Here is a 19,056-nt window from a genome sequence, read left to right as displayed (position 1 = left end):
ACGACTATTTTCTTCAAGCACTTCCATTAAAGTGACAAAAAGAAGTAATATTTTGACTATCGCCATATTCCTGAGGATAAAGCTAATACACAATCCTAGTGCTATTCTTTATTATTAGGAGCCAGGGCTTCTCAGGGACTAAAACCTTAGGTACCAATAAAGAGCAAACAATATGGATATGGAAAATCTCGTCACTTTTAAGCAAGAAACTTTCAAAAATGTCTCAGAAGTAATGCTGAAAAGACAATGGAGACAGCTTATGGGGGTGCTCACAGTATAATAATTTGAACAAGAATAATTATAATTTATTGGAATAACTTATGTCTGTGAAAAGCCTTCACATACTTCAGTCTATAAAAGTACCTAACAATGAAACAGTAGATGTACAAAGAGGTCATTGAAAAACAAAAAGAAAGATATATTTATTTTTAAAATATTTTTAATAAGTATGTCAGAAAATTGACATGTGCAGATGTTCGGTTTCTTTATTTGATGTATATTTCAATATCTATATTTTTCTCAAGAAATAGGAAAAAAATCTACAGTGAATGTTAAGTCAAATAACTCAAGAAAACTTGTGGATTTATCTTGGTAGACCAGATGAGTTATCAGCTCCTATGGTCATTCATAACAGTTAGGAGAAAAATTCCAGTGGTGTGTTGGAAACTGACATATGATGCAGTGATCACAAGAAGAGAATCTGCTGCCCAGACTCATCCCTTCATCTCTTGGATAATGAAATCACTAGATGCTTTTATCAAAAATACTGAGAAACTAAAGCATCATGAAGTAAAGGCTTACTGCCTGGAACTAAGATTTGATGGACATGGGAACCTTCAGAAGAGGTTCCATGTTTCTAGTATAAGACAAGAGCTTCCAACAGCCATTGACATAGCAACTGAACTCTAACTCTCAGAAAAAAACTCAAGCTGGAAAACACTGGCCCAGGACTGGCTGTATCAACTTTGAAGGGATCCAATAAAATCCCATGTATCGACCAAAAATCATGTGGTTCATAACCCAGAATCTGCAAAACCAACGGGGCCGAGACTACATTCTTTTTCTTTCAAGTCTCCAAGATTACTGAAACCTAGGAAAGTATAAACAGTTAAGTATAAAAAAACAAGGAAGGTATAAAACAAGTTTGTGAATAATGGAGACATAAATCCATTGTATAAATGCTACTTAGTAGCTTAAGTGTAGAAATAAAAATTTTGAATCCCATTGTGACTGTGATTTTGATTGTGTTTGTGCATGCACATGTGGGTGCCATCTGCTTTTAAAGTTTGTGAAACTTAATGAAATTGGTAAGTATTTTATTAAAATACTTAGGAGAATTTGTCTAATTAAATTTGTAATCAGCATTTAAATATCTAAGATTATTCCATTCATAAGATGTGTTTTATTAGTAGCAACAGCATTTAAATGTTTTTCTAAAAATTAAAAATTAATAAGATTAAAATGCAAGCATTAAAAAGGTACCTATAATAGTGTTTCCCTGCATAAAATGTTCTTGGTCATAAAAACATCCTAGAAACAATGTTATTCTCTGATTTTTTTTCCTCATAGGAATCTAGCCCCTGAACATCTAAGCATGCATCCAAGGATGGGATTTTGATTTTCCTTGCCTCCTCCAGTAAGCATAAGGCTGGGTGCACACTACTAATGGCTTAAAATTCCATTGGAAATCTATAAAATAGTTTCCCTTATCTAGTTTAATTATTTCAAGTAAAAATGGAGTAGACACCTAACATGAAGAAAGCTCTGTTGTCAGTCACATAGTGAAAACAAAGATGCATAAAATATAGCCCCACCCTTCAAGACGTTTGCAAGAGTGAGACAAAAAGAGTTAAGGCAGACTGATAAATACTATTAATTCCTCTTACATCACCAATAAAATAAACAGAGACTCCTTTACTGAGAACCCCATGGAGAAAACATGTTTCTTGGTGTGTCTCCTTCCAACAAAACAAGTAAATTCAGTGTGTGATGTCTATAAAGAAGATTCAGTCACATTTTCTCACTTTACAGGGCTGACATTTTCAATGTTTATTTCTAAAAGCAGTAGTGGGTCAGTCTGATATGCTTTCTAGAGCATCATAACTTGAACTTAGAGAATTGGTTCTAGTTGATAATAATAATGGCAAAATGAAATCCCATTTATAATACTGCCATACTAGAAAAAACAAACCTCTTGTATTACATGCCTGATCAATGTGTTAGCTACTCCACACAATATTCAATATTCCCACAAAAATGTCCCAGTACAACAAAGGTTTGCGACAGATAGCATCTTGGAGTCTCCTGTAATGGGATTTGACAAGAGCCAGGCACTCTAGGCAAGTTCAATCAATGTTAATTGAAGCAGAAGTGATTCAAAGGCAAATAGGAGTCCTTGAGAGGTGAGAGAGGGGCTTTGGGATTGTGACTCTCTCCTTTTCCCATTACCCCCTTATATTTAATTACTTGTTCTAGCCTGTGAATTGTAATTTGATTTGCCATCAGGTGATTCTTGCCTGGTATTAATATCATGTTAGTTCAGTCTTTCATTTAAAGAAAAAGTATCTCATAACTTTTTTTTATTATTTATTTATTTTTTTGAGACGGAATCTCATTCTGTTGCCCAGGCTGGAGTGCAGTGGCACGATCTCGGCTGACTGTAAGCTCTGCCTCCCGGGTTCATCCCATTCTCCTGCCTCAGCCTCCAGAGTAGCTGGGACTACAGGCGCCACTACCATGCCCAGCTAATTTTTGGTATTTTTAGTAGAGACGGGGTTTCACTGTGTTAGCCAGGATGGTCTCGATCTTCTGACCTCGTGATCTGCCTGCCTTGGCCTCCCAAAGTGCTGGGATTACAGGCGTGAGCCACCACGCCCAGCCCAAAGTATCTCATAACTTCTGAAGGTGCCTATTTTGCAAGAAGGAAATTGTTCTCTGGCAATTGAGTCTCAGGTTTTAAGGTCCCCCTTCCTGTTCTTAACCCCTTTGATATTAGCAAAATATCAGTAGAAGGACAAAGAAAGAGACTATTTAAAGTATTGAATGATACTGTTGTATTTCCTCTGGTGCATTATTACATCTATAATTGACCAGCACCAGAACTTTGAATTTGCTTGGGCTTCTCCCAGAAGCAGACTCTAAGATAGGAATGTTTGTGCAAATTACTTACTGGGGGAGTGATTCTAGGAAGCAATGGTTAAGAGTTGAGAACAGTGTGAGATAGAGAACGAAAGGTGGCCAACAAAAGTAGGCTAGCAACTAGTTAACACCATGGACAACTGGAGCATCACCTCACAGAAGAACTCAGAGCCAGTATAGAACATGCCTCCTTCAGTCCACCAAGGGGTGAGGGGCTGGGGTATTTACATCCCAACAGTCTTCAGTCATTGGTTGAGGGCTAGTCTCAGGTGGGGCAAGGAATACATGCCCTAGCACTTCTGGCCTATGATGTACAAAGGTGCCCCAGTTAAAGGAAGCCCTAAAAAAATTGGACAGTATGCCAGTTGCAGCTGCTACAACTTGCTTGGAAATATGTAACCTGCTTTCAATTCCAGTGGTCCTTCAAACAGATACACCATATTACCACCCTCTGGATAAGCTGTTGGAGGGAATTGGAAAAAGGTTATTTCAGTCTGACATAAGGGACATCCTTTGATCAAGACTTTGGGAACTAAGGTTAGAGTCGGCATTGTTTTGCTCAAGAATCTAATATTGTTTCTCTTTTAGTTTGGTACTCTCTCAGTTACCTGTCATATAGCTTTTGGGCTCAACATTCACAAGCATTAGGACTTTCTCTGGATATGATACACTGAAACCTCAAACTGCTAAATAGAAAGTAGAATTCAGCATAAGGTAGGCTTAACCTGGATCCCATTTAGAAGTGAATTTAATTTTTAAAATATTATTTAAAAAATAAAATATTTACTTTTCATGGTAGGTGGAACACATTCTTCCAAGAACATAGGCAATAATTGTGGGAAGCAGGCGAGAGAGAATGAGAATAGACCGAAATCACAAATAAGGACAGTGAAGTTCCAAAGGTGAGGTTTAAATTCGCAAGCCAGTAAGCAATCAGACAGGGACTGAAGCCCAAGTGAGGAAGCAGCTGAGCATGGCAGTGAAGAGCCCAAGCTCTGGAATCAGGACAACCTGACTGATTCATCCAGCTATGCCCCTCACCAACTAGGTGGTCTGGCTTAGTTACCTAACCACTTCATGCCTCAGTTTCTCGGGTAGGCAATGGGGGTAATGAGAGTACCTACTCATATAATCACTGTGATGATTATGAGCCAGTGCTTGTAATGTTTTGCCTAATTCCCAGTCTATAGTAAGTGCTCAATAACTGTTAACTTGCTATTGCAAGTATTATTGTCATTTTAATGACTTCAGGGTAGAAAGTAGAAAATGTTCTTTCTACTATGCATGTCTTGAAGTCCAGGGATAATGTCTGTGGGACAATAATCTGTACCATGGCAATCAGGGAATGACTATTCCATTTGCCACCCAGTCCAAAATGAAATATCTTAGCTCTTGTCTTTGCTGCACATTTTCATCACCCTGAAATCCCAGGTGTGGTGGTAGAGAATACCAGGGTTTTCTCAAAAGTGCTTTCCACTAAAGTGACAGATCCAGTTTGATTCGGTTTTTGATGGTCTGAATTATTCTTCTTAGTTAATGAGCTCTTCTTGTCAGTATTTAGAGGGATACTCACCTCCCTTTGGATGACATGAGCTTGATGATGCAAATAAGTGGAAAAGGTGGTGTCTCATACAGTTATGTGTACAGTATATCATTTTCTGCAAACAGGATAGTGTCATCGCTGTGAAGGAGGTAAAACATCTGCCCTATTTTTCAGAAGGAGGAATTAAGGAATTGAGGTATTTGGTTATGTGGCCAAGGAAGGCAGCAGCAGATTCTCCACTCGGGACTTCCGTCTCATGAATCTTCATGTTTTTTCCAAGGGCTTTAAGTAAAGAGGGCTAAGAAACTATTCAGAAGTTACACAGTGTTCTCAACTAAAGGTCAACTGTAAGAGATTTAGAAATTCATTCAATTCTTTATTAACAAATAAAATAACCACCATTTATTGAACATTGCCACATCCCAATGAATTTACAACGTGCAAAGTACCATCCATGTGATGTCCTTTTACAGGCACTTATCACCACAATCATAGGAAGTATCATTATTCCCATTTTGTATATGAGGACACTGAGGTCCAGAGGATTTTTGTCTTGTCCTAAAATCTCAGAAATAAATAGGGACTCCAGAGTTAGAACACAATGGCAGATGGCAGCACATATATGTAACAGGGTTAGGCTGTGACTAGAGATTTCTGTAGCTGATGGTAATATGAAGAATTGAGAATCTGACCATACAACTCTGACCCCATGTGTAGACAATGGACAGCTCTAGTGCTATTTCTGAAAGAGCAATAATGCTAGATCCAGCTGAAATGTCTAGCAGGTCACCACTGATAGGTCTACACTGGACTTTTTTAGAAAGCCAATAAGGACACAGTTTTGCAGGAAATTGACAGAGACCTTATTGCTGAGTCAACTGAAGGTGTTTTATTGCAAGGCAGGCACAATTGCAAAACATAAATCTGAAATACTACAGTTTTCATAAACACAATCACAGAAGCATGCCTTGTTTTTTACTCCAAAATGGACAGATCCACAGACAGACCTGAGCAACATTATGGATGAGGTCAGTTGATCTCTAATTCCTGCTTTGTCTTAGAATATGGTATTCTGGAACCATCCACTTACTGTTGACTAGCTTATATTCAGGGTATTTGAAGTCACTTTTGATATTTGCAATTTCTTTAGCATTCTAGCTGCAGGATCAAACAGGAATTACATTTCAACATACAAGGTTTGTGTTTCTTTGTAGAGTAACATATATATATCAAATAGTGTGCAAGAGCCCCAGGTATAACGTATGTTTGATTATGTTTCAACTCTAAGCGATAACATATTGAGATCGCTTCAGTAGCTAAGCAAATGTGACTCAGGCCATTACCTGGATCCAGACTTTTAAAAAAAGAATGAAACAAAAGAAAGGAAACGTATTTTAACCTACAGATCAGTACTATACAAATCAAACAACACAGCCCCATTTACAAGGTAATCTGGGATTGCAATTCAGGAAATCCCTAGGGATAAAACTTGTTCATAAACAAGGCTAATTTTAGCACAGAACAATACTTTTTAAAGCAATTTCTCGTTTATAATTCCCAGGGTCAAGGAAAGAAAAAGAAAAGGCAGGAAAAAAAAAAAAGAAATCCAACCAATCAAAAGCATCCAGGATTGTGTGTTGGGCAGGTGATAGCAAAGGAAAAACAGTCCAATGCAGAACTATAGCTCAGAGAAAGTCAGTCTGCAGGGATGCTGGGCATGAGTCCACTTTAGGTGCTTCTTGGTTCTAGTTTCTGTGTTTTTATCCTTTGGATCAGCAGCATCTTCCTCATTATGTTTCAGCAGCTCCCCGGACACCTAAGGAGGTGGTCTATCGTCTGGCCAAAACTTGGGGCCTGTGGAAGAACACATGGGAAAAAGCCCATCAGGCATGAGCCCAAACAATCTGACAGCTAAAGGTTGATGGAGTCAAGGGGTAGAGGGAAGAGTGGATGATTCCTTACCTCCTCCCAGCCTGCCTCCCGCCGCTGCTCCAGAAGGGTGGCTTTATGCTTTGTAACAGCCAGTGGCTTGAAATCTTTGAGATCTTGTAGTGAGCTCATAGTGGTATTCATCACCTTGTAGTCCATGGCATCTCTGTTGACAAGAACATAAAATAAATACCTTGGCATTAATGTTCTTTGGAATCTTGAGGAGGAGACACAACGGAGCAACACAGACACATAGAAAGAAGGGAAAGGAGGACGAGAGAATAAAACTCAGAAAGGATACTCTACCTGCCACCTTTCCCTGGAATTCCCCTAGGCAGTCGTATCCTGGACTGGAGGCTTGAAGTGATTTCTAAGACCGCCCAGAGGTCTCAAAGGTCTGAAAGGTCAGGAGGCATCATTCCACTGCTACACGAGCACCTGAACTCAAAACTCAGCTCCTTGAGAACCTCAGCCAGCCTCGCCCCAACTCTCCTGAGTGGATGATGTCACTGAAATACTACATAACAGAGAGCAAAACGCAGTTGAAAATTAGCAGGAGATCCTCCTTCTTCCTTTGCCCCAGGGTGGTAGTCAAGGAAAGGCCAGGGGATGAGGGTAGGGAGGGTATCAACCACATGGTCTTCCCTTTAACGGTTTCAATGTTCAAGTCAGCCCACTCTTAACTTCCCACCACGTGACAAGAATTCTAAGAAGATTCTTCCATGGCCCATGTCATTTAGTTCAATCTAGCATTGCTTGTGGACTTTAGGGTATTGCTCAGATCCTGAAGAAAGTTTTTATTTCAGCCAGGCTTCCTGCCTGAGACAGAAGAACTCCAGACCTGGAATATGAGAAACACCTGGCTCCACTTAAGACCCTTCTTTTCCAAAACCTATAGAAAGCCTAGGGCTACCTCTTTGACCCTGAAAGAACCTGTCTTCCTGGAACACAGGGTAAAAATCACATAGTGAAGAATACAAGCCAGAAATAACACAGGCTGGGAATAACACAGGCTGGAAATCGCAGAAATTGGAGTGCTACCAAGAAAGACATATAGAGAACAGAATTCAAGAGAAACTTATTCCAACAAACCCAAAGGCATACCAAAGGATAGAGGTTGACAGGAGTGGTCTGTCCTGGGTACACATAATAAAGCAGGCACATTATCTGTAGAATTTAAAGGCAGTAATAACACTGCCTTTAAACAAAGTCAGACTGCTCTTTGTTATGACCACGCTTTGGCAATTCTAAACAATGTTGGTGAAAGATACTGTATCCCACCCAGGCAGGTCCCCCTCCTTGGTACTTCACTACCAACTCCACATGTTATCCTGATCCGATCATAGCCTTTGCTTGTGCTCTTCCGTCTACCTGGAATCTCCTTCCCCCAATCCCACCAGCCCACATCCTGTTCACTTTTAGGTCCTATTTCAAATAATCCCTCTTCAATGAAGGTTCTCATGACCCTCTTGGCTAGGAGTAATCCCTTACTCCCCTTAACTCCTAGGACAATTTATCTATATTATTTTATTTATACCTTATATTTATATATGCATATTATCTTTCCTATTAACAGACATCAAGATGCAGTGAAAAGTGTATGGGATTTGGAATTAGGCCCAAGTTAGAATCCCATTTCTCACAATGAACTAGCTGTGCAATGTTGAGCTAGTTATAAAACCTCTTTAGTTTATTTCCACATCTATATAATGGGAATATCACCTATCTCACAGAGTTGTTGCTTGAAATTAAATAATGCACGCAAAATAGCCTGAGATAATATACCCTCTACGATTATTTGTTTCTCTATCCTCTGCCTTAAGGGCAGAATCTTACTCTTTCATCTTTATTCTCCCCTCCCCACTCCCACAGGACTTATCAAGATAAGTCACAAAATGTGGCAGGTATAGAAATGTGTAGGCTTTTGTGTAGAATACCTACCACATAGGCTTGTGTGGAAGATGAAATAAATATGTGTCCAGTCCTTACGTTAGACCCTGGCACATGGTATGAGTTGTATAAATGTATGTTAAATAAAATGACCTTGTGAGTTATTGTAGGACTCCCTGACTCCATGGTGTGCTCCAAATATAAATTATCAACATCAGGGAGAAAACAGATATGGCACAGCATTTAGAAACTCACATAATGTTGGAGCTAAGAGACTACAGTGATTTGGATATTTGTACCCTCCAAACTTCATGCTGAAATTTGATCCCCAATGTTGGAGATGGGGCCTGGGGTGAGGTGTATGGGTCAAGAGAGAGGATCCTTCATGAGTAGATTACTGCCCTCTTTTGGGCTCCACTAGTTCCTGAAAGAGCTGGTTGTTTAAAAGGGCCTGGCACCTTTCCCTCTCCCTTGCTTCCTCTCTCACTATGTGATCTCTGCACATGTGGCTCCCCTTTGCCTTCCGCTATGAGTGAAAGCAGCCTGAGGCCCTTACCAGATGAAGATGTCCAATCTTTAACCTTCCAGCCATGAGAATTGTGATCTAAATAAACCTTTTTTTCTTCATAAATTAACCATTCTTGAGTATTCCTTTATAGCAACACAAAAGGACTAAGACAGAGACGCTCTCCCATTTTAGGAACACGTATTGAGAATTCACAATGTGCCAGATAATGCATTAATAACTTTATAAATAATGTTGCATTTAATTCTCACCTGAACCGTGTGATGTGCTATCTTGACTATCCCTATTTCACACAGCAACAGAGGCACAGAGATGTTAAGTAATCTCCCTATGGATGCATGACTAATAAAGCGCAGAGCTAGGTTTGGAGACTAGGTTTTTTTTTTTCTTTCATTTTAAGTTCAGGGATATGTATGCAGGATATGCAGGTTTGTTATATAGGTAAAAGTGTGCCACTGTGGTTTGCTGCACAGATCATCCCATCACCAAGGTATTAAGCCCAGCATGTGTTAGCTATTCTACCTGATGTTCTCCCTCCTCCCACCTCCACTCTCCAACAGGCCCCAGTGTGTGTTTCCCGCCCTCATGTGTCCATGTGTTGTCATCTTTCAGCTCCCACTTATAAGTGAAAACACAGGGTATTTGGTTTTCTGTTCCTATGATAGTTTGCTGAGGATAACAGCTTCCAAATCCATCTATGCCCCCAAGAAGGAAATTATCTCATTCCTTTTTATGGCTGCATAGTATTCCATGGGGTATATGTGCCACATTTTCTTTATCTAGTCTATCACTGATGGGCATTTAGGCTGATTCCATGTCTGTGCTATCGTGAATAGTGCAGCAATGACTATACATGCACATGTATCTTTATAATACAACAATTTATATTACTTTGGGTATATACTCAGTAATGGGATTGCTGGGTTGAAAGATATTTCTGCTTCTAGGTCTTTCAGGAATCACCACACTGTTTTCTATAATGATTTAGCTAATTTACACTCCCACCAACAGTGTAAAAGCATTTTGTTTTTCTCCACAACATCGCCAGCATGTGTTGTTTTTTGACTTTTTAGAAGGTTGGTACAAAAGTAACTGTGTTTTTTTGCCATTAATTTTGATGACAAAAGCCACAATTACTTTTGCACCAACCTAATAATAATAGCCATTCTGACTGGTGTGAGATGGCATCTCATTGTGGTTTTGATTTGCATTTCTCTAATGATCAGTGATATTGAGCTTTTTTTTCATATGTTAGTTGGCCACATGTATGTCTTTTTTTGAGACGTATCTGTTCATGTCCTTTGCCCACTTTTAATGAGGTTGTTATCTTCTTGTAAATTTGTTTAAGTTCCTTATACATGCTGGATATTAGATGTTTATGAGACGGATATGTCGCAAAATTTTCTCCCATTCTGCAGGTTATCTGTTTAATTTATTGATGATTTCTTTTGCTGTGCAGAAGCTCTTTAGTTTAATTACATCCCATTTGCCAATTTTTCCTTTTGTTGCAATTGCTTTTGATGTCTTCATCATGAAATCTTAGCCTGTGCCTATGACCTGAATTGTATTGCCTAGGTTTTCATCTAGGGTTTTTATAGTTGTGGGTTTTACATTTAACTCTTTAATTCATCTTGAGTTGATTTTTGCATATTGTGTAAGGAAGGGGTCCAATTTCAATTTTCCGCATATGGCTAGCCAGTTCTCCCAGCACTGTTTATTGAATAGGAAATCCTTTCCCCATTGCTTGTTTTTGTCAGGTTTGTTGAAGATCAGATGGTTGTAGGTATGTAGTCTTATTTCTGGGTTCTCTATTCTGTTCCATTGGTCTATGTGTCTGTTCTTATACAAGTACCATGCTGTTTTGGTTACTGCAGCCCTGTAATATACTTTGAAGTCGGGTAGTGTGATGCCTTCAGCTTTGTTCTTTTTGCTTAGAACTGCCTTGATTATTTAGGCTCTTTTTGGTTCTGTATGCATTTCCAAATAGTTTTTTTCTAATTTTGTGAAGAATGTCAATGGTAGTTTAATGGGAATAGCACTGAATCTATAAAGTGCTTTTGGCAGTATGGCCATTTTCACAATATTAATTCTTCCTATCCATGAACATGGAATTAATGATTTTCCATTTGTTCTGTCCTCTCTGATTTCTTTGAGCAGTGGTTTGTAGTTCTCCTTGAAGAGGTCCTTCAATTCCCTTGTTAGCTGTATTCCTAGGAATTTTATTCTTTTTGCAGCAGTTGTAAATGGATCACCTGTGATTTGGTTCTTGGCTTATCTGTTGTTGGTGTATAGAAATGCTAGTGACTTTTTCACATTGACTTTTGTATCCTGAGGGTTTGCCAAGTTGCTTATCATCTAAGCAGCTCTTGGGCTGAGAAGATGGGGTTTTCCAGATACAGGATCGTATCATCTGCAAACAAAGGTAGTTTGGCTTCCTCTCTTCCTATTTGAATGTCCTTTATTTCTTTCTCTTGCCTGATTCCCCTGGCCAGAACTTCCAATACTATCTTGAATAGGACTGGTGAGATAGGGCAAACTTGTCTTGTGCTGGTTTTCAAGGGGAATGCTTCCAGCTTTTGCCCATTCAGTATGATATTGGCTGTGGGTTTGTCATATATGGCTTTTATTATTTAGAGGTATGTTCTTTCAATACCTAGTTTATTAAGAGTTTTTAAAATGAAGGGATGTTAATTTTTATCAAAGGCCTTTTATGCATCTATTTACATAATCATGTGGTTTTTGTCTTTAGCTCTGTTTATGTGATGAGTCATATTTATTGATTTGCCTATGTTGAACTAACCTTGCAACCCCGGGATGAAGCCTACTTGATTGTGGTGGATAAGCTTTTTGATGTGCTGCTGGATTCAGTTTGCTAGTATTTTGTTGACAATTTTCACATCGATATTCATTAAGGATATTGGCCTAAAGTGTTCTATTTTTTTGTTGTATTTCTGGCAGGTTTTGGTATCAGGATGATACTGGCCTCATAGAATGAGTTAGAGAGGAGTCCCTCTTTTTCAGTGTTTTGGAATAGTTTCTATAGGAATGGTATCCGCTCTTCTTTGTACCTCTGGCAGAATTCAGCTGTGAATCCATCTGGCCCTGGGCTTTTTTCAGTCAATAGCCTATTTATTACTGCCTCAATTTTCAGAACTCATTATTGGTCTATTCAGGGATTCAATTCCTTCCTGGTTCAGTCTTGAGAGGATATATATGTCCAGGAATTTATCCATTTCTTCTAGATTTTCTAGTTTATGTGCATAGAGGTGTTTATAGTATTTTTTGATGACTGTTTGTATTTCTGTGCGGTCAGTGGGGAGATCCCCCTTATCATTTCTGATTGTGTTTATTTGATTTTTCTTTCTTTTCTTCTTTATTAGTCTAGCTAGAGGTCTATCTATTTTATTAATATTTTTTCCAAAACCCAGCTCCTGGATTCATCGATTTTTTGAAGGGTTTTTCATGTTTCTAGATTCTTCAGTTCAGCTCTGATCTTGGTTATTTCTTGTTTTTTTTTCTAGCCTTGTGGTTTGTTTCCTCTTGGTTCTCTAGTTGTTTTAAGTGATTTTAGGTTGTTAACTTGAGATCTTTCTAGCTTTTGGATGTGGGCATTTAGAGCTATAAATTTCCCTCTTAACACTGCCTTGGCTGCATCCAGAGATTATGGTAGATTGTATCTTTGTTCTCAGTAGTTTCAAAGAACTTCTTTATTTCTGCCTTAATTTCATTATTTACCTAGGAGTCATTCAGGAGCAGGTTGTTCAATTTCCACATAGGCGTGTGGTTTTGAGTGAATTACTTAATCTTGAGTTATAATTTGATTGCACTGTGGTCTGAGAGATGGTTTGTTATGATTTCAGTTCTTTTACATTTGCTGAGGAGAGTTTTAGTTCCGATTATGTGGTCAGTTTTAGAGTAAGAGTCATGCAGTGATGAGAAGAATGTATATTCTGTTTTTTGGGGGTGAAGAGTTCTGTAGATATCTATCAGGTCCACCTAATGGAGAGCTGAGTTTGGGTCCTGAATATCTTTGTTAATTTTCTGTCTCTGTGATCTATCTAATACCGTCAGTGGGGTGTTAAAGTCTCCCACTACTACTGTGTGGGAGTCTAAATCTCTTTGAAGGTCTCTAAGAACTTACTTTGTGAATCTGAGGGCTCCTGTGTTGGGTGCATATATATTTAGGATAGTTAGCTCTTCTTGTTAAATTGAACCCTTTACCATTATGTAATGCCCTTGCCTTTTTTGATCTTTGGTAGTTTAAAATCTATTTTGCCAGTAATTAGGATGGCAGTCCTTGTTTTTTTCTGTTTTCCATTTGCTTCATAAATTTTCCTCCATCCCTTTATTTTGGAGCCTATGTGTGTCTTTGCATGTGAAATGGGTCTCTTGAAGACAGCATACTGATGGATCTTGGTTCTTTATTTAAATTGCCATTTTGTGTCTTTTAATTGGAGCATTTAGCCCATTTACATTTAAGGTTAGTGGTATTGTTATATGTGGACTTGATCCTGTCATCATGACGCTAGCCGGTTATTTTGTAGACTTGTTTATGTGTTGGGAATGAGGTTTTTGAGTTACGCTTTGCTCATTCACTATAGTTCTATTGCAGAGCTTCATGCCATGATGGAAATGTTCTGTGCTGTCTAATATAGAAGTCACTAGCCACTGGTAGCTTTGAGTTCCTGAAATGAAGCTACCATGATTAAGAAACTAAATTTTAAATTATACTTAATCTTAATTAATTTGAGCTTAAATAGCAATGTGTGCAGGTACAGTAAACTTGTACTAGCATACTGGATAGTGAAAGTTTACTATATTTTAGAGATCGTTTCATGTAAGCTCCTATTCAATAGCCTCTGGGCCTGTGATGGGAGGGGCTGCCATAAAGATCTCTGATACGCCCTGGAGACATTTTTCCTATTGTCTTGGTGATTAACATTTGGTTCCTCATTACTTGTGCAAATTTCTACAGCCAGCTTGACTTTCTCTCAAGAAAATATATTTTTTCTATTGCATTATCAGGCTCAAATTTTTCAAACTTTTATGCTCTGCTTTCCTTTTAAATGCACATTCCTATTTCAGATCATTTCCCTCAAGTTCAAAGTTCCACAGATTTCTAGGGCAGGTGTAAAATGCCATCAGTCTCTTTGCTAAAGTATACCAAGAGTAACCTTTGCTCCAGTTCCCAAGATTCTTCATCTCCATCTGAGACCAATTCAGCCTAGACTTCATTGTCCATATCATTATCAGCATTTTGGTGAAAGCCATTCAACCAGTCTCTAGGAAGTTCCAAACTTTTCCACATATTCCTGTCTTCCTCTGAGTCCTCCAAACTGTTCCAACCTCTGCCTGTTACCCAATTCCAAAGTGGATTCCACATTTTTGGGTATCTTTATAGCAACACCTACTCTCTGTAGCACCAATTTACTGTATTAGTCTGTTCTCACATTGCTATGAAGAAATATCCAAGACTAGATAATTTATGAAGGAAAGGAGTTCAGTTGACTCGCAGTTGCACATGGCTGGGGAGGCCTCAGGAAACTTAAAATGATCCCAGAAGGGGAAGCAAACACACTTTCCTTCACATGGCAGCAGGAGTCAGAAATGCCAAGCAAAGTGGGGAAAAGCCCCTTATAAAACCATCAGATCTCAAGAGAACTCATTCATTAACAAGAGAACAGCAAGAGGGTAACTGCCCCCAAGATTAAATTACTTCCCACTGGGTCCTTCTCACAACACTTGGGGATTATGGGAACTACAATTCAAGATGAGATTTGTGTGGGGACACATCCAAACCATATTAGTATGATTTTACATATTAAAGAATAATTAACCCTGAGATGCATTCTCAGAGAGCTCATTCCTAGGCACATCTGCCAGGGCAGCTAAAAGTTACATAAAACACATAGACATTTCCATTAACAAAGATCGACACACAGGAGTCCTTGTAGGAGGCATTTGCTAAAGCCTAGGCTACAGGCCTTCTGTAGCAATATGTCAATAACTAACCAGTGTCAGATGAACAAGAGCCCTCTGCAGTGTTTCTGTCTTTGCCAGTCTTAACTTCCCATCTACCAGCTCCTTAGAGAAGATCTATACATACAATGCAATTCAAGAGAAGACTATATTACATCAGATCCACTTTAGAGGTACTACTAATCATCATGAGCCCCATGCCCACCATCCCAGTGCTGTCAGTCTTATCCTTTAAAAATACAGGAGACCTAGTATAAAACCTCCAGTGCTTGTTGGCAACTGCCCACCTCTTTGACCTAGGTGAGTTGAAGGAAGGACATGCTGACCCATTGCATCTCCAATAGCACCCAGCTCTCATTCTTCTGAAATGTTTCCTGTGATGTGTCAGGACTTCATGCCACAGATAAAGTAGATGCTTCATAATCCACAATGTGGCTAAACTACCCACTATTCCCAGTATGGTTTGCAGCTGAAACATGTCTAGTGGATCACAGGGAATCCTAACTTAGGGCAGCCATCACAATCTGAATCCTTGTACCCCAAGTTGCTCCTCGTTTTCTGTCTGGTTCAACTGGTCTCCCAGATCTTTTTCCCTATGCCACTTGAGGCATACTCCTTTGAGGAACTTGCATAAGGATGCTTTTTGTACTGGTTTGAATGTTATCTATCATTACTTTTGGGTCTTTATAGACACTGGCTTCCTAAATGTTCAAAATCCCTTTCTCCTTTCCAAACCATTTTTCTCACTAATATGTGTGAATGTAGCAGAGAATGTTGGTCCCTTACTGTATCCCTCAGGTCTTACAAAGACCAGCCTTGAAACTGCCATTAACTGCATCTCTTTGCATGAGGTTTGTTTTGTTTTGTTTCTCGAGAAACTATTCTGTCCAGGTATGGTGATCTATGAATATCTGGGTATTAACTCACCTTGAGAGGAGTCCTCAACCAGTTACTGATAGGAGTCCAGGGCAAATGTTCTAAATTATTTCCCAGAATTTTTTCATAGGCTTTAGCTCTAGCTGTGCACAGTCATAGCTGGCTCCATATCATACCCTTTGTTGTCTGCCTTACTTTTCCTGTCATTCTTTCCCTCTCTTCTTACTGGCATTTGCTATACCTCCCAAATAAACTACTTGCTCTCAAGTCCTTGTCTCAGGGTCACTTCTGGGGGACTAAAACTAAGCCAATAGAAAACTACCTTTTTCTAATTCTAGTCACTTCAGTCATTTCAGAAATGCCTTAACTTTATGTACATATAGATATATGTATACATAAATATGTATTTCCAGTCTATGTCAATTGAATTTATAAATAACTATATATATATATATATATATGCAGCTGACATTTAAGTTTTTATATATTTTGTTGTGTGCTGGTTTTGTCTTTCCTGTAAGTTGATAAGATGCTCAAAGGCCAGGAGTGCAGCACCTCCTTCTTCTATAATTTTACACGATGCCTGGTGTGATGCTCCACAGAGTGAATATTCATTTAACCAGGGCTGAGAGACAAGGGGCCATGGAGGTCAGGTCTGTTTGTCCTGCGGGCTTGTCAAGGGTGAGAAATCTCCTAAGATAAAAAAATTGTGATGCTGTTTCCAACCCTTTGAAGGATGAACCTGGAAGCCTAAAATGAGAGCTGGCCCTGAGACAGGGCACCAAGTCAGAACATCAGTCCTGTGGCACATGCTATGCCCTCCAGGCCACTGGGACATGAAATCCTGTGTAATCAGATACGTTCTCTTGACCTGTTTCTGAGTGACAGTCCAGTTTGGGGTGAACTGGGCTACATGAGCTAGACAGACCAATGTGAGGCCCATTTCTGGGAGAACTTTCCTAAAAACCCTGGGCCTTTGCTGCAAATCAATAGAATTATTAAATATCTCAAAGCATATTACAGAACAGGGTGCTAATAGGTGAGGGTCCAATATAGGTAAAGAAGAGGTCCTACTTTGACCCACCTTACACTCCAGAAGTGAAATATTTATGGGGTACTTAATAGCGGTGAGCGATGAGTAATACTAATGCCACTAACCGCAAATACCTTATTTTTGCTTAGGCCTCTCATCTCCCTCTTGGGCCAGGAGGACTTTATGGCATTTCCACTTGTCTATTTCCCTTCCTAACTAGAATAAAGGCTAATTTATCAAACATTCTAAACCTGGAATCTTTATTAACTAGCTCCCCCAGGACACAAAGATTCTAAAGGACCTTCTGAATCAAACAAAGGTGAAATGACACTCGGTGTTATTTCAGAGTTGAGTATTTTGTTGCATTATTTCTAAGCCTTTTACAACTGACAATCCAGATAAAGTATTGATTAAACAGATCACTCTGCATCCTCAACTTGGCTGCTAACAGAGTTCACTGTAATATAGTTTTGGCCCTTGTTGGTTGAGTCTAGTGCCTCAAGAGCAAATTACCACCGAAGACCTCACACACTCAGCACCTCACAGAAACCTTGCCGTGACTCCAGGTGCGTGGGGCAGGCCTGCCCACAGAATGCAGCCTCCCACAAGCTGTGAGATTCTAAAAGAACTTTTCTAAGGCTTTTTCTGAGGAAAGCACACCAACATATGGCTTTATATGAATCCTGCTGATTGAGGAAACTTTAGATTCTACAGAAGCTTTCTAAAAATAATTCCAATTTGAATAGAAAGTCGAGTCCTTTACAGAGCCCAGACTGTTTTGTTCTCCCATCACATGGGAACTTGAAGAGGCCACAACAATGACAAGCAGACAGAGCAATGTGTAATTCATCCAGAAATGAACTGCCAACAGAATTACAAACAGCTGTCACAATGGCTGGGATAAAAGCCAGAATTAAGAAGGGCATGGAAGGGAAGCACAATAATAACCAGAGACCTCTAAGCACCAAATGTGAAGGCACACAGAACATATTCTCGTGACCTTCCTCTAACTTCCACCTCCATCCACGCAGAATGCTTCATCTGACAGTCAGATAAATTCACTTAGAAAATAAATCATCATTTACATACAATGTATTGAAAATAGACACGAGCCAGAACAACCAAGTTTCAGAGTAAAGTACTAGAAGAGCTGATCAATTCAAAAGTGTTTTGCACATTCTTTAGAGAAGAAATTTGCCGCTAAATTTTCTCATATATGCATGAGAGATGCAATACCAAGGAATGTTTAATTATACTCACCTTCAAAGCTACATGTCTACTGAAAGAAAACTGTGGCAAAATAGAAAACAGGAAACACATTCCATAAGGCTGATTCACTCTCTGGGATTTTTACATGTAGGAGTGCCATTATCGCATAAAAATGGTATCTTGTGTTGCCAACAATATTACCCATACATACGGAAGACTTCAGCACTTTCTTAGGAATCGCATTAAAAACATACCATACTATCCCAAATTGTGCTCAAGTTTGCATAGAAGTTATCATTGGCTATTTAACCTGTAGTAAGTTATTAAACATTACCCCTTGGTAGTCTCATTAATGTCTAAAGTACTTGAATATTAAAGATTACCTTTTATAAAGTCACTTCTAAATCAGCCCGGTCTCTACTCCTAAGGCAGCTTAACATCTCTTCACCTTAGTTTTATATCATCCCTTTTCTTTCACCTCAAAAATACATTTGTCCTTGAGAAGCTCTAGGTGTTATTAATGAAGAATGGATACGGGAATATTTATCATGTTAAGTGTTTTTATGATGCTGATGGTGCTTCGAAGAAGACTAAGGCTCTTACATAAACACTGTTGTACACATTTCTGACTTTGCAACTAGAGTATGTACTCCCTGAAAGCTGAGGCCATCCCTTCTGCATGCTCTTTTTGTAAGCTTCATAATGCCCAGCAGAATGCTGGAGACTAAAGTGACTATATTTTCTGAATAAAAAATTAGATGGTCTCTGCAAGGAGATATTTTGCAGTTCTGACAAACCAGGATTAGGTATCCCAATGCTTCCAAAAATAGGTTCCAGACAAGTATTCCTGATAATAAATGGTGCCAATGATTCACCTCCTGGAGACCTTCCCATTTTTTTCCATTTACTCCTCTCCTAATTTTACCTGTAACC

General features: G+C 39.0%; 1 long non-coding RNA gene across 1 annotated transcript in view, besides 1 other annotated feature; it reads right to left on the bottom strand.

Moving 5' to 3' along the window:
- Nucleotides 1-5,547: 5,547 nt before the first annotated feature.
- The window catches only part of LINC00693 (long intergenic non-protein coding RNA 693), a 183,060-nt gene continuing 169,551 nt past the window's right edge, over nt 5,548-19,056 (bottom strand). Inside the window, exons 3-5 of the long non-coding RNA NR_038840.1 lie at nt 6,917-7,127; nt 6,644-6,776; nt 5,548-6,535 (exon numbers count right to left, since the gene is read on the bottom strand). This is a non-coding gene — a long non-coding RNA (long intergenic non-protein coding RNA 693). The remainder of the gene's footprint in view (nt 6,536-6,643; nt 6,777-6,916; nt 7,128-19,056) is intronic.
- Nucleotides 6,027-7,226: an enhancer, noted in NCBI's record as "BRD4-independent group 4 enhancer chr3:28798150-28799349 (GRCh37/hg19 assembly coordinates)". NCBI's record gives its function as "activates an origin of replication core promoter dependent on BRD2, P300/CBP, MED14 and CDK7 cofactors, and independent of BRD4, by STARR-seq in HCT116 cells {active_cell/tissue: HCT116}" and the evidence as "EXISTENCE:reporter gene assay evidence [ECO:0000049][PMID:35650434]".

The sequence above is a fragment of the Homo sapiens genome, chromosome 3, assembly GCF_000001405.40.
Source record: "Homo sapiens chromosome 3, GRCh38.p14 Primary Assembly".
Lineage (NCBI taxonomy): Eukaryota > Metazoa > Chordata > Mammalia > Primates > Hominidae > Homo > Homo sapiens.
This window is presented reverse-complemented; position numbering and strand designations above follow the sequence as displayed.